Source organism: Homo sapiens, chromosome X (assembly GCF_000001405.40).
Source record: "Homo sapiens chromosome X, GRCh38.p14 Primary Assembly".
In the NCBI taxonomy this organism is placed as follows: Eukaryota; Metazoa; Chordata; class Mammalia; order Primates; family Hominidae; genus Homo; species Homo sapiens.
The window spans coordinates 116,328,330-116,344,307 of NC_000023.11; the positions used below are offsets into that span (position 1 = coordinate 116,328,330).

The 15,978-nt window shown below is 40.3% G+C and overlaps 3 annotated features.

Moving 5' to 3' along the window:
- Nucleotides 3,483-4,408: an enhancer, noted in NCBI's record as "NANOG-H3K27ac-H3K4me1 hESC enhancer chrX:115462947-115463872 (GRCh37/hg19 assembly coordinates)". NCBI's record gives its function as "activates a minimal SCP1, AML or CMV promoter by ChIP-STARR-seq in naive H9 embryonic stem cells {active_cell/tissue: H9 hESC(naive)}" and the evidence as "EXISTENCE:reporter gene assay evidence [ECO:0000049][PMID:30033119]".
- Nucleotides 6,411-7,103: an enhancer, noted in NCBI's record as "OCT4-NANOG-H3K27ac hESC enhancer chrX:115465875-115466567 (GRCh37/hg19 assembly coordinates)". NCBI's record gives its function as "activates a minimal SCP1, AML or CMV promoter by ChIP-STARR-seq in naive and primed H9 embryonic stem cells {active_cell/tissue: H9 hESC(naive and primed)}" and the evidence as "EXISTENCE:reporter gene assay evidence [ECO:0000049][PMID:30033119]".
- Nucleotides 7,963-8,473: an enhancer, noted in NCBI's record as "NANOG hESC enhancer chrX:115467427-115467937 (GRCh37/hg19 assembly coordinates)". NCBI's record gives its function as "activates a minimal SCP1, AML or CMV promoter by ChIP-STARR-seq in naive H9 embryonic stem cells {active_cell/tissue: H9 hESC(naive)}" and the evidence as "EXISTENCE:reporter gene assay evidence [ECO:0000049][PMID:30033119]".

The window sequence follows — 15,978 nt, forward strand, 5'->3', positions numbered from 1 at the left end:
AAAATCCAAGAGACAACCCAGAGGCTTTTCTGCCATTGCCACTGCAGTGGTATTGCCCATATTGCCTTTGGGCTGGGGAAAGAATAAGGACACCGATTGCTTTGTTGAACCTCCATCATGCTTCAGCCATATGGAGAGGAGCCCAGTCTCTCTTCTCTGTGACCCTAATGTGGTTTGGATTTGTGTCCCTGCTGAAATCTCATGTTGAATTGTAATTTCTATTGTTGGAGCTGGGGCCTGGTTGGAGGTAAATGGATCATAGGGGCAAATTTCCCCCTTTGGTACTGTTCTCATGATAGAGTTTTCATGAGATCTGGTTGTTTAAAAGTGTGTGGCACCTCCCCCTTCTCTTTCTTGCTCCTGCTCCTGGCCATGTGAAGTTCCAGCTACCACTTCACCTTCCACCATAATTGTGAGTTTCCTGAGGCCTCCCCAGCCATGCTTCCTGTACAGCCTGCAGAACCGTGAACCAATTAAACCTCTTTCTTTATAAAGTATCCAGTTTCAGTTATTTCTTTATAGCAGTGTGAGAATGGACTAATACAGACCCTCTTACCCCTTGCTTTTCATCAGGCAGGGCCCCTGGCATGGGAAAAGTGCAGCCATCCTACTCCCAGTAGAACTTTGTATTGGCAGTGGCTCTGTGTCTTTCCAGGATGAACTTCCCAGAAGCAACTGACAGCCCCTTTGTCACTGCCACTACAGTGGTACCACCCCTGCTGCCCTTGGATTAGGGAAGGGACAAACAGCCTGAGTACTTTACTTGCACCCTCAGCACACAACAACCACAACCACCATTTGGAGAGGAGGCCAGTCTCTCTTCATTGTGAGCCCCAGATCCCCTGCTCTTCACCAGGCATGTCCCCTGGTTTGGGCCCACAGTGCAGCTGCCCCACCTGAAGCTGAAAATTCCCATTGGCAGTGGCCCTGTATTTCTCTGGGGTGGAGTTCCAAGAGACAACTGACAGCCCATCTGCCACTGCAACTGCGGCAGTGCCATTCTTGTTGCCTTTGGGCTGGCAAAAAACAAACAAACAAAAAACCACAAAGGCACTGATCACTTTGCTGGCACCTCCAGTACTCCAGTACACTGCAGTCACTGTACAGAGAAGAGGACAGATGATCTTCTCCTTTAGCTCCCCACCCCTCCACTCTTCACCAGGCAGCTGCCCCCTCCCTCCATCTTGAGCCTGCAATGCAGCCAACTCACACCTGGCTTGTTGTTCTGATTGGCGGTGGCTCTGTGTTTCTCTGGGGTAGAGCCCCAAAACACAAGTGAAAGGCACTATGCCATTGCCACTGCCAAGGGTCTCCCTCCCATGCTGCCTCAAAGCTGAAGAGGAAACAAAAAGCCTGAATTCCCACCAGGGCTGCACTGTGCAACCCAGGAATGTCAAGTTGATATCTGTGGCCAGCACTTGAGTGGGAGAGATGCCCACACTCTCACAGCAATGAGAAGGAGCATGGCTGCAAACGTGAGGAAATACAGAGGAGCCGTGTGGCCGAGTAAGAGCCTATCTGCCAGCCATTATGCTTAAGTACAATCTACTGGATGACAACCCAAACTTCAACACCAAAAATACTTTGCTAATATACCCCTCTGTGAAACCAAGGACAAGAATTCAGCCACAAATAAAGATGCTGCACAAAGTCTCAGCCTTCTGAAAACATGCAGAAACAAAGCTGACTATACTCAAATTACATATACCACAGTTAAAGGTACATCAGCCCACACGGATGAGAAAGAACCAGTGCAAAAATTCTGGCAACTCTAAAAGCCAGAGCGTCTCCTTGCATCCAAAGGACCATACTAGCTCCCCAGCAATAGTTGTTAACAAGAAAAAAATAGGCCAGACATCATGGCTGGTAATCCCAGCACTTTGGGAGGCCGAGGCAGATGGATCGCAAAATCACAAAGTTAGGAGTTCAAGACCAGCCTGGCCAACATGGTGAAACCCTGTCTTGACTGAAAATATAAAAATTAGCCGGGCATGGTGGTTCATGCCTGTAATCCCAGCTTGAACCTGGGAGGCAGAAGCTGCAATGAGCCAAGATTGCACCACTGTTCTCCAGCCTGGGTGACAGAGCAAGATTCCATCTCGGAAAAAAAAAAAAAAGAAGACAAAATAAAATGACTGACATAGAAGTCAGAATCTGGATGGCAACAAAGATAATTCAGATTCAGGAGGAAGTTGAAACCTATTTCAAGGAATATAAGGAATCCAGTAAAACTAATCAAGAGATAAAAGACAAAATAGATATTTTAAGAAAGAGCAAAACCAATCTGCTAGAGCTGAAAAACTCACTACAAGAATTTCCTAGCACAAGTAGAAATATCAAGAGCAGAATAGGCCATGATGAGGAATGAATCTCAGAGCCTGAAGACCAGTTCTTCAAATTAAAAGGCAGATGAAATTTTAAAAAAATTAAACAAATAACAAAACCTTGAATAAGTAAGGGATTACGTAAAGAGTTAAAACCTACAACTCATAAGCATTCCAGAGAGGGAGAGACAGCAAGCAACTTGGAAAATATTTGAGGATATTGTCTACAAAATTTGTCCAACCTTGCTAGTGAGGTTGATATTCAAATTCAGAAAATTCAGAGAATCCCTGCAACATACTATACAAGATAACCATCCCCAAAGCAAATAGTCATTAAATTCTCTATGGTCAATGTGAAAGAAAAAATACAAAAGGAAGCTAGAGAGAAGGGCCAGATCACCTAAAAAAGGGATCCCCAACAGGCTAACGGTGGAACTTTTAGCAGAAACCCTACAAGCCAAAAGAGACTGGGGCCTATAGTCAGCATCCTCAGGGAAAAGAAACTGCAATAATGAACTTTATATCCACCCAAACTAAGCTTCATAAGTGAAGGAGAAATAAGATCCTTTTTAGACAAGCAAATGGTAAGATAATTTATTGCTAACAGACCTGCCTTACAAGAGGTCCTTAAAGGAGTGCTAAACATGGGAAAAAAAATACTGTTACTAGACACCAAAAAAACACACTTAAGTACATTGACTATTGATACTATAAAGCATCTGGACAATCAAGTCTACATAACAGCTACCTAACAACACATGACAGGATGAAATCTGCACATATAAATATTAACCTTGATTGTAAACAGGCTAAATGCCCCACTTAAAAGGCACAGAGTAGCAAGTTGGATAAAGAAGGAAGACCTAACTGTATGCTATCTTTGAGAGACCCATCTCACATGCAAGGATACCCATCAGCTCAAAGTAAAGGGATGGAGAAAGATCTATAAAGCAAATGGAAAGCAAAAAATAAAAAAGAAGGAGTTGATGTTCTTATTTCAGACAAAACAGACTTTAAACTAAACTGATCCAATAGGACAAAGCATAATATTATATGATAATAAAGGGTTCAATTTAACAAGAAGACTTCACTATCCTAAATATGTATGTACTCAACACTGGAGTACCAAGATTCATAAAAGAAGTTCTTAGAGGCCTATGAAGAGACTTAGATAAGCACAAAATAATAGTAGGAGAGTTCAACACTCTACTGACATTTTTTGGACAGACTACCAATGCAGAAAACTAATAAAGATATTCAGGACCTGAACTCAACACTTGGCCACATGAACCTAACAGATATCTATAGAACCCTCCACCAAACAAGAACATAATATACATTATTCTCATCCGTGTCAGGCCTCTGAGCCCAAGCTAAGCCATATCCTCTGTGACCTGCACAGATACATCCAGATGGCCTGAAGGAACTGAAGCATGATAAAAGAAGTGAAAATGGCCTGTTCCTGCCTTAACTGATGACATTACCTTGTGAAATTCCTTTTCCTGGCTCATCCTGGCTCAAAAGCTACCCGACTGAGCACCTTGTGACCCCCACCCCTGCCCGCTGAGAGCAACCCCCTTTGACTGCAATTTTCCTTTACCTACCCAAATCTTATAAGACGGCCCCACCCCTATCGCCCTTTGCTGACTCTCTCTTCAGGCTCAGCCCACCTGCACCCAAGTGAAATAAACAGCCTTGTTGCTCACACAAAGCCTGTTTGGTGGTCTCTTCACACGGATGCGAGTGGCGCTGAGTCTTTCTAATCTTCCTTTTCTACAGACCCATCTGACCTCTCCCCTCCTCCCCAGGCTGCTCCTCGCCAGGCCGAGCCAGGTCCCAATTCTTCCTCAGCCTCTGCTCCTCCACCCTATAAACCTTTTATCACCTCCCCTCCTCACACCCAGTCCAGCTTACAGTTTTGTTCAACGACTAGCCCTCCCCCACCTGCCCAGCAATTTCCTCTTAAAAAGGTGGCTGGAGCTAAAGGCATAGTCAAGGTTAATGCTCCTTTTTCTTTATCCAACCTCTCCCAAAATCAGTTAGCGTTTAGGCTCTTTTTCATCGAATATAAAAACCCAGACAAGTTCATGGCTCATTTGGCAGCAACTTTGAGACGCTTTACAGCCCTAGACCCTGAAAGGTCAGAAGGCCATCTTATTCTCAATATGCATTTTATTACCCAATCTGCTCCCAACATTAAATAAAGCTCCAAAAATTAAATTCTGGCCCTCAAACCCCACAACAGGACTTAATTAACCTCGCCTTCAAGGTATACAATAATAGATTAGAGACAGCCAAGTAGCAATGTATTTCTGAGTTGCAATTCCTTGCCTCCACTGTGAGACAAACCCCAGCCACATCTCCAGCACACAAGAACTTCCAAACACCTAAACTGCAGTGGCCAGGCATTCCTCCAGGCCCGCCTCCCCCAGGAGCTTGCTACAAGTGCCGGAAATCTGGCCACTGGGCCAAGGAATGCCCGCAGCCCGGGATTCCTCCTAAGCAATGTCCCATCTGTGCAGGACCCCACTGAAAATCGGACTGTTCAACTCACCTGGCAGCCACTCCCGGAGCCCCTGGAACTCTGGCCCAAGGCTCTCTGACTGACTCCTTCTCAGATCTTCTTGGCTTAGTGGCTGAAGACTGATGCTGCCCGATTGCCTCAGAAGCCCCCTAGACCATCACGGATGCTGATCTTCAGGTAACTCTCACAGTGGAGGGTAAGTCCATCCCTTTCTTAATCAATACAGAGGCTACCCACTCCACATTACCTTCTTTTCAAGGGCCTGTTTCCCTTGCGTCCATAACTGTTGTAGGTATTGACGGCCAGGCTTCTAAACCTCTTAAAACTCCCCAACTCTGGTGCCAACTTAGACAATACTGTTTTAAGCAATCCTTTTAATTATCCCCACCTGCCCAGCTCCCTTATTAGGTCGAGACATTTTAATTAAATTATCTGCTTCCCTGACTATTCCTGGGCTACAGCTGCACCTCATTGCTGCCTTTTCCCCCAGTTCAAAGCCTCCTTCACATCCTCTCCTTGTATCTCCCCACCTTAAACCACGAGTATAGGACACCTCTACTCCCTCCTTAGTGATGGATCATGCACCCCTTACCATCTCATTAAAACCTAATCACCCTTACCCTGCTCAACACCAATATCCCATCCCACAGCACGCTTTAAAAGGATTAAACCCTGTTATCACTCACCTGTTACAGCATGGCCTTTTAAAGCCTATAAACTCTCCTTACAATTCCCCCATTTTACCTGTCCTAAAACCAGACAAGCCTTACAGGTTAGTTCAGGATCTGCGCCTTATCAACCAAATTGTTTTGCCTATCCACCCCATGGTGCCAAACCCATAGACTCTCCTATCCTAAATACCTCCCTCCACAAACCTATTATTCTATTCTGGATCTCAGACATGTTTTCTTTACTATTCCTTTGCACCCTTCACCCAAGCCTCTCTTCACTTTCACTTGGACTGACCGTGACACCCATCAGGCTCAGCAAATTACCTAGGCTGTACTGCCTCAAGTCTTCACAGACAGCTGCCATTACTTCCGTCAAGCCCAAATTTCTTCCTCATCTGTTACCTATCTCGATACAATTCTCAGGAAAACACACGTGCTCTCCCTGCTGATTGTGTCCGGCTAATCTCCCAAACCCCAATCCCTTCTACAAAATAACAACTCCTTTCCTTCCTAGGCATAGTTAGTGAGGTCAAAATTCATACACAAGAGCCAGGACCGCACCCTGTAGCCTTTCTGTCCAAACAACTTGACCTTACTGTTTTAGCCTAGCCCTCATGTCTGCATGCAGTGGCTGCCACTGCCTTAATAATTTTAGAGGCCCTCAAAATCACAAACTATGCTCAACTCACCCTCTACAGTTCTCATAACTTCCAAAATCTATTTTCTTCCTCACACCTGACGCATATACTTTCTGCCCCCCTCCACTACCTCTCAGCAAGCCGAACTCAGTGCCTTAACTCGAGCCCTCACTCTTGCAAAAGGACTACGCATCAATATTTGTACTGACTAAATATGCCTTCCATATCTTGCACCACCATGCTGTTATATAGGCTGAAAGAGATTTCCTCACTATGCAAAGGTCCTCCATCATTAATGCCTCTTTAATAAAAATGCTTCTCAAAGCCGCTAGTCATTCACTGCAAAGGCCATCAAAAGGCATTAGATCCCATCGCTCAGGACAACACTTATGCTGATAAGGTAGCTAAAAAAGCAGCCATCAAAAGGCATCAGATCCCATCGCTCAGGACAATGCTTATGCTGATAAAATAGCTAAAAAAAGCAGCTGGTGTTCCAACTTCTATCCCTCAAGGCAGTTTTTCGCCTTCTCATCTGGCCACTCCCACCTACTCCCCCGCTGAAACTTCCACCTATCAATCTCTTCCCACACAAGGCAAATGGTTTAAAAGGAAAATATCTCCTTCCAGCCTCACAGGCCCATTCTATTCTGTCGTCATTTCATAACCTCTTCCATGTAGGTTACAAGCCGCTAGCCTGCCTCTTAGATCCTCTCATTTCCTTTCCATCGTGGAAATCTATCCTCAAGGAAATCACTTCTCAGTGTTCCATCTGCTATTCTACTACTCCTCAGGCATTTCTCAGGCCCCCTCCCTTCCCTACACATCAAGCTCGGGGATTTGCCCCCGCCCAGAACTGGCAAATTGACTTTACTCACCTGCCTCGAGTCAGGAAACTAAAATACCCCTTGGTCTGGGTAGACGCTTTCATTCGATAAGTAGAAGCCTTTCCCACAGGGTCTGAGAAGGCCACCGCGGTCATTTCTTCCCTTCTGTCAGACATAATTCCTTGGTTTGGCCTTCCCACCTCTATACAGTCCGATAACGGACTGGCCTTTGTTAGTCAAATCACCCAAGCAGTTTTTCAGGCTCTTGGTATTCAGCGAAACCTTTATATCCCTTACCATCCTCAATCTTCAGGAAAGGTAGGAGAGACTAAAGGTCTTTTAAAAACACACCTCACAAAGCTCAGCCACCAACTTAAAAAGGACTGGACAATACTTTTACCACTTGCCCTTCTCAGAATTCAGGCCTGTCCTCAGAATGCTACAAGGTACAGCCCATTTGAGCTCTTGTATAGATGCTCCTTTTTATTAGGCCCCAGTCTCATTCCAGACACCAGACCAACTTGGACTGAGCCCCAAAAACCTTGTCATCCCTACTGTCTTCTGTCTAGTCATACTCCTATTCACTGTTCTCAACTACTCCTAAATGCTCGTGTTTATACTGCTGGTAAACTGTTTCTCCAAGCCATCACAGCTGATATCTCCTGGTACTATCCCCAAACCACCACTCTTAACTCCCTCTTAAAGTAAATAAATAATCTTTGCTGGCAGGGCTATGCTGAACCTCCTTAGGCACTCTCTAATTGGATGTCCTAGGCACTCTCTAATTGGATGTCCTAGGTCCTCCCAATTCTTAGTCCTTTAATACCTGTTTTTCTCCTTGTCTTATTCCATTTAGTTTTTCAATTCGTACAAAACCGTATCCAGGCCATCACCAATAATTCTATATGACAAATGTTTCTTCTAACAACCCCACAATATCACCCCTTACCACAAAATCTTCCTTCAGCTTAATCTCTCCCACTGTAGGTTCCCACACCACCCCTAATCACGCTGGAAGCAGCCCTGAGAAACATCGCCCATTATCTCTCCACACCAACCCCCAAAATTTTTGCCACCCGAACACTTTACCACTATGTTGTTTTATTTTTCTTATTAATATAAGAAGACAGGAATGTCAGGCCTCTGAGTCCAAGCTAAGCCATCATATCCTCTGTGACCTGCAAATATACACCCAGATGGCCCGAAGGAACTGAAGAATGACAAAAGAAGCGAAAATGGCCTGTTCCTGCCTTAACTGATGACATTACCTTGTGAAATTCCTTTTCCTGGCTCATCCTGGCTCAAAAGCTCCCCAACTGAGCACCTTGTGACCCCCAACCCTGCCCGCTGAGAACAACCCCCTTTGACTGTAATTTTCCTTTACCTACCCAAATCTTATAAAATGGCCCCACCCCTATCGCCCTTTGCTGACTCTCTTTTCAGACTCAGCCCACCTGCACCCAGGTGAAATAAACAGCCTTGTTGCTCACACAAAGCCTGTGTGGTGGTCTCTTCACATGGACTCGAGTGAAAATCTGCACATGGAAAATATTCTAAAATCAACCACATGCTCAGCCATGAAGCAATTTTCAACAAATTTAAAAAACCCACACAATCATATCAACTACTCTCTCAGACTACAGTGCAACAAAACCAGAAATCAATTTTATTAAGAAGATCTCTCAAAACCATACAATTAAATGGAAATTAAGCAATCTGCTCCTGAATGACTTTTAGGCAAACAATGAAATTAAGGCAAAAATCAATAATTGTTTTGAAATTAATAAAAACAATGATACAATATGCCAGAATCTCTGGCACATATCTAAAACAGTGTTAAGGGGAAAGTTTATAGTTCTAAATGCCCACATCAAAAAGTTAGAAATATCTCAAAGAAATAATCTAACATCACATCTAGAGGAACTAGAAAAGCAAGAGCAAAGCAACTCCAAACCTAGTAGAAGAAAAGAAATAACCAAAATCAGAGCTGAATTTAATGAAATGAAGATGATAAAAAACATACAGATATCAACAAAAGCAAAAGTTAGTTCTTCAAAAGAATGAATAAGATTGATAGATTGTTAGCTAAACTAATATAGAAAAAAGAGAAAAGATCCATATAAACACAATCAGAAATGACAAAGGAGACATTACCACCAATCCCACAGAAATATGAAAAGCCCTCAGAGACTATTATTCATACCTCTATGCACACAAACTAGAAAACCTAGAATAAATGGATAAATTATTAGAAACATACAACCTTCCAAGATTGAACCAGGAAGAAATTAAAAACCTGAATAGATCCATAATGAGTTCTGAAATTGAATCTGTAATAAAAAGCCTACCAACCAGAAAGAAACCCTAGATCAAACGGACTCACAGCTAAATTCGACTATATATATAAAGGAGAGCTGGTATCAGTCTTACTGAAACTATTCCAAAAAGTCATGGAGGAGGGAATCCTCCCTAAATCATTCTATGAGGCCAGCATCATTCTGATACCAAAACCTAGCAGAGACACAAGAAAAAAATTTCAGGCCAATATCTCTGATAAACATGGATGCAAAAATCCTCAACAAAATACTAGCAAATCAAATCCAGCAGCACGTGATAAAGCCCATTCACCACCATCAAGTAGGCTTGATCTCTGGGAGGCAAGGTTGGTTTAACGTATGCAAATCAATAATGTGATTCATCACATAAACAGAACTAAAACACAAAACCACATGATCATTGCAATAGATGCAGAAAATAATTTTAATAAAATCCAACATCCTTTTCTGTTAAAAACCCTCAATGAACCAGGCATCTAAGAAACATACCTCAGAACTGTAAAAGTCCTTTATGACAAATCTGTAGCCAACATCATATTGAACAGGCAAAAGCTGGAAGCATTCCCCTTGAAAACCAGAGCAAAACAAGGATGCCCACTTTCACCACCCTTATTCAACATAGTACTGGAAGTCCTAACCACACCAATCAGATAACAGAAAGAAACAAAGGCATCACAATAGGATTAGAAAAAGTCAAACAATCCCTGTTTGCAGACAATATTATTCTATATTTGGAAATCACCATCGTCTCTGCTCAAAGTCTTCTGGATATGATAAACATCTTCAGCAAAGTTTCAGGATTCGAAATCAATATACACGTATCAGTAACATTTCTATACACCAATAACATCCAAGTGGAGAGCCAAATCAAGAATGCAATCCCATTCACAAAAGCCACAAAAAGAATAAAATACCTAAGAATACAGCCAATTAGTGATGTGAAAGATCTCTACAATGAGAATTACAAAACACTGATGAAAGACAGCACACACAAATGGAAGAAGAGTTCATGCTCATGGATAGGTACAATCAATATCATGAAAATGACCATGCTACCTAAAGCAATTTAAAGATTAAATGCTATTCCTATCAAAGTACCAATCATATTTTTCACAGAATTATAAAAAAAAACTATTCTAAAATTTATTTGGAACCAGAAAAGAGCTCATATAGCCAAAGCAATCCTAAGCAAAAGACAAAAAAAAAAATGACAACAACAAAAACACAGTCACAAGCATCAAACTATCTGACTTCAAAGTGTACTACAAAGTTACCATAATTAAAACAGCATAGTACTGGAACAAAAGCAAACACATAGATCAATGGAACAGAGTAAACAACCCAGAAATAAAGCCAAACACCTGCAGCCATCTGATCTTCAACAAATTTGACAATAACAAGCTATGAAGAAAGGACCCTCTATTCAATAAATGCTGCTAGAATAACTAGCTAGCCATATGCAAATTACTGAAATTGGACCCCTTTCTTTTACCATATAGAAAAATTAACTCAAGATGAAGTAAAGACTTATATGTAAATCCTAGCACTGTAAAAACCCTAGAAGAAAATGTAGGAAATACAATTCTGGACATCAGCCCTGGCAAAAACTTGATGACAAGGACTCCAAAAGTAATTGCAAAGAAAACAAAAATTAACAAATGAAACTTAATTAAACTAAAGAGCATCTAGACAGCAAAGGAAACTATCTATAGAGTAAACAGACAGCCTACAGAATGGGAGAAAATATTTGCAAACTATGCACCAGACTAAGATTTAATATACAGAATCTATAAGGAACTTAAATAAGTCAACTAGCAAAAAACAAACCAACCTATTAAACAATGGGCAAAGAACATGAGCAGATACTTCTCAAAAGGAGTCATATATGCAGCCAGCAAGCATATGAAAAAATGCTCAATATCCCTAATGGAAATGCAAATCAAATGGAAATGCAAATCCAAACCACAGTGAGATGCTATCTCACACCAGTCAGAATGACCATTATTAAAAAGTCAATAAATAGCCGATGTTGGCAAGGTTGCAATGAAAAGGGAATGTTTGTGCACTGTTGGTGGGAATGTAAATTATTTCAGTCATTGTGGAAAGCAGCCTGGAGATTTCTCAAATAACTTAAAACAGAACTACCCTTAGACACAGCAATTCCATTCCTGGGTATATATCCAAAGGAAAATAAATTGTTCTACCATAAAGACACATGAATGCGTATGTTAATCACAGCACAATTCACAATAGCAAAGAATCAACCTAGATGTCCATCAACAGTGGACTGGATCAATAAATGTGGAATTTATACACTATGGAATACTACACAGCCATAAAAAATGAAATCACGTCCTTTGCAGCAACATGAATGGAACTGGAGGCCATTATTCTAAGGAAATTAATGAAGAATCAGAAAACCAAATACCATATATTCTCACTTATAAGTGGAAGCTAAATATTGAGTACACATGAACTCAAAGAAGGGAACAATACACACTGGGGCATACTTAAGGGTACAGAGTGAGAGGAGAGTGTGGATTGTAAAACAATCTATAATTTATTATGCCTATTACCTGGATGACAAAATTACGCATACATCAAACCCCTGTGACACACAATTTGCCCATCTAACAAACTTGTGTATGTACTCCTTGAACCTCAAATAAAACTCGGAAGGAAAAAAAATAAATAAAAGTTTCTGGACCCAATCGTTGTTGGCTTTCCTAAGAATGTATACTTATTTGGAGAATATTATATTCATTTTTGAAGCCTCATTGCCATTTCCAAGGTAACATGAAAAGTCCCACCAAACCTTGTTATGTATATAAGATACCTATGCTAAAATTTAGTGGAATTTAAGCAAACTACTCCTCATTTTAAACATACTTATCCAGACTTGTATAAGCTATACATATTAATGTATTTCCTTGACCAACCTCCAGGCTTGCTAGTTTTTCAACAGAGCAAACATCATATCTGTAACTTTTCTATATGCCTCTGGTCCAGTCTGTTTTTCCCAGTCTATGAAAATTTATTGTTTTTACAGTGTAATGCAGAGATCCTCCCCCATGTATCACACATGATTGATAAATTCACTTATAAGACAAAGTTTCATGGACTTACTCAGGGGTATAAACAATTTCCAATGGGCTAATAATAATTTCCTCTTTTTCTTTCACTCAAGACAGCATATTAGATCATAAAGAGTGAGCAATATTATTAAATAAGATATCTTAAAATTGCTCTTATTTACTAAAAATAATTTTCAAATGTTGATACTTTTTATTAGTACTAAATTATTTGTGACATATGTCACTACTCATCACAACACACAGTTCAGAAACTGCTGGTCTAAACCAAGAAACTTAGTGCTTTACATTCTCTGGTTTTGTTTCTCAACAAAATTGCAGGTTTTCCTACAGGCAGGATTTGTAGTTGATATATATTTGGTCTTTCATAAATTGTATTTTAGATAGCTAAATAGATAGATAGGTAGAGATATATATATTGAGAGAAATAGTATTTCCAACGACATACATAGTGAAGTGCTCAGTACTTTAGTTAAAATTGGAGCCTAGTCTTAAGCCAAGAGTGACTAGAAAAGAGTTGTGTATGGGGTCTAAGCAAAGGTAATAGCATATGCAGAGGCCCAGAGGCATTTTAGAGCATGTCACATTCAAGAAGCAAAAGATGCGCAGTGGATCTGGGGTAATGGGTATTAATTCAAGAGTAACTAGAGAGGTTAAATCATAAAAGGCCTTGTTTTTATAGCCTCAAAATATTATTCTTGTTAAGGAAAGATAGGGATTTGACATTGATTTGGCTTTAGTCACACCTTCCAAATTACTGTTTTAGGATAAGGAAATGCTCAGGAGCTTTATATTTTTTCATACATTTATTCATATTTATTGAGTACCTACTATGTGTTAGTCACAGTTGCATAGGCACCATGAGTAAGATATAGTCCCTATAGTCCCTGGCATTGATAAATTTACATTCTATCAGAAGGGGGAATATTATTAAACAATTACATTATGCATCATGCTATGTTAGGGGAAGAATAGGGTGATATAAAAGCACATGACAGGGGATCTAAATGCTGACTTGATGAGGCTGGCCATGGAAAGCTTCCTGAAGGAAGTGACACTCAAGCTGGGGCCTAAAAGATGAAAGAGTGGGAGTGGTGGGTGGGGTCTAAGCAAAGGTAATAGCATATGCAGAGGCCCAGAGGCATTTTAGAGCGTGTCATATTCAAGGAGCAAAAGATGCACAGTAGATCTGGGGTAATGGGTATTAATTCAAGAGTGACTAGAGAGGTTAAATCATAAAGGACCTTATAAGTCAAGCTAATAAATTTGGAAGCAATGCATGCAATTGTAAGATTTTAATTAGAGATATGACAATATTATATTTACACTAAAGACATCACTGTGGCTGCTAGGGGTGAATTGATTGAAAGAGGGTAGGATTGGAGGAAGGAAAACCAGTTAAGAGGTCCCTTCAGTTCTTACAGGGAATCTTGGCAGTGCATCACAGCATCCACTACCAGTGTCTTTCTTGAAATAATTATTCTATGAGATATTAATCAGTGTTTCAAGAAGAAAAATGACTTCTGTGGTCAACTAAGTTTAGCAAATCCTAGGCTAAACAAGTTTTTTTTTAACTGGAAGAATTTTCAGAAATTTAAATATGCTGTTTTAAATGGTGAATTGTGATTCTCCAAGGGTGGGATAGAATAGGTAGAAGATAGCAACCACAAGTGACCAGAAGGCACATGTTTTGAGGAATATCCCTTATGCATAGTAGTACTGAACATCAGTTTAAACAATGCTGTTTCAGAGGCAACGGCAATTAAGATAATAATGATGCAGACATAATTTTTCATAGGCTTTTAAAACTTTTATCTCTTCAGTGTGTCCAGATTATTTTCACTCCTTCAAAACCAGCTGCCTTTATAGATTCCTCATGTAGCCTATTGCTTTTCAGCTGGCACTCCAATTCCATGATAACTAAAGTAAGTGGAGATTCATTGTTCACTCTGTGTTTTCTATTAAGCTTCCTTCAAAATTTGGCATGTTTTCTTTCCACATGTGATTTGTTGTATATTACCTTTTTTTTTTTTTTGCATCAATTGTCTTCATTACACCTAAGTGTCCTAAAATGTTTTGTAGGTTGAGTTCTTTCAAAAGTAAACTGAGCTTGAACTAAGCATTCAGGAAATTTATCATGCAATATTCTCAGGATCAGCAACTGTTCAAGAAAAGAGAAAGGAAGGGAAAAAAATAAAAAAGAAAAGAAAACAAAAGTGGGCAGAGAGAAAAGTTGAGCTGTGGCATAGCCTCAGTGAAGGCATCGGCTAACACCATTTGAGTTGTGAAACTGAGATATCTTTTTACGGTTGTCTCACATTGTGGTGAATAGTCAGGGCATTTTACTTCAGTCTCGATCAGTCCTTGAATGCAGGCTGTCCCTGGGAAGGGGTTATGAACTTAAGAGAGGCAGTTCTCTCTAGCTATTGGCAATTTTTAGAGAGAGCTGGCAGCTGAGTGCAGTCAGCCAGAAGTATTCCCAGAAACTGGGGGAACGAGCCCTTCAGTTCTTACAGGGAATCTTGGCAGTGCATCACAGCATCCACTACAAGTGTCTTTCTTGAAATAATTATTATATGAGATATTAATCAGTGTTTCAAGAAGAAAAATGACTTCTATGGTCAACTCAGTTTAGCAAATCCTAGGCTAAACAAGTTTTTTTTTTTAAGTGGAAGAATTTTCAGAAATTTAAATATGCTGTTTTAAATGGTGAATTGTCACTCTCCAAGGGTGGGATAGAATAGGTAGAAGATAGCAACCACAAGTGACCAGAAGGCACATGTTTTGAGGAATATCCCTTATGCATAGTACTACTGAACATCAGTTTAAACAATGCTGTTTCAGAGGCAACGGTAACAGGAAAAGTACTATGGGGATCATTGGGATGGGGATCTGGAGCTCTAGTATCTCAGATTTTGTCTCAACCAACATGACAAAGCACTTGTCATGGTTCAATTATTAGCAAGATCTATTACCTGTGATTAGATTGCTGTAGACTATTAAATCTGATCCGTGACTAAATCAAACAGGACTTATCTATTAATGAAAGTCTAACTTAGTATGAAGACAAAGTATTTGCTTTATTGTTGACTACACTTCTTCTCATTCTGATGAGTTTATAGGGTAAATATTTCATGTTTTGAAAATCGACACTGATGACAAAAAAATACAATGTTGTTTTCTTTTTTTTATTTATTTATTATTATTATACTTTAAGTTTTAGGGTACATGTGCACAATGTGCAAGTTAGTTACATATGTATACATGTGCCATGCTGGTGCGCTGTACCCACTAACTCGTCATACAATGTTGTTTTCAAGAAAAACCTGTCATGCAATGGTATTATTGTATGACACAAGGAGGCCTTGTAAAGAATTCAGAATAAACTGTAACTTTTCTCAGTGTAACTCCATGTCAGCTTTTGCATCTCTGTGATTATCGATTCAGTTGATAGATCTATTTTCTCACTGACCTCCACTTGAAATAGTTCTCACTTTAAGATGTCTGCTTATCTGACTTCTACATAAATCAATTCAGATTGTGTTAGGATCAGATAAAAGGCAGTTTCA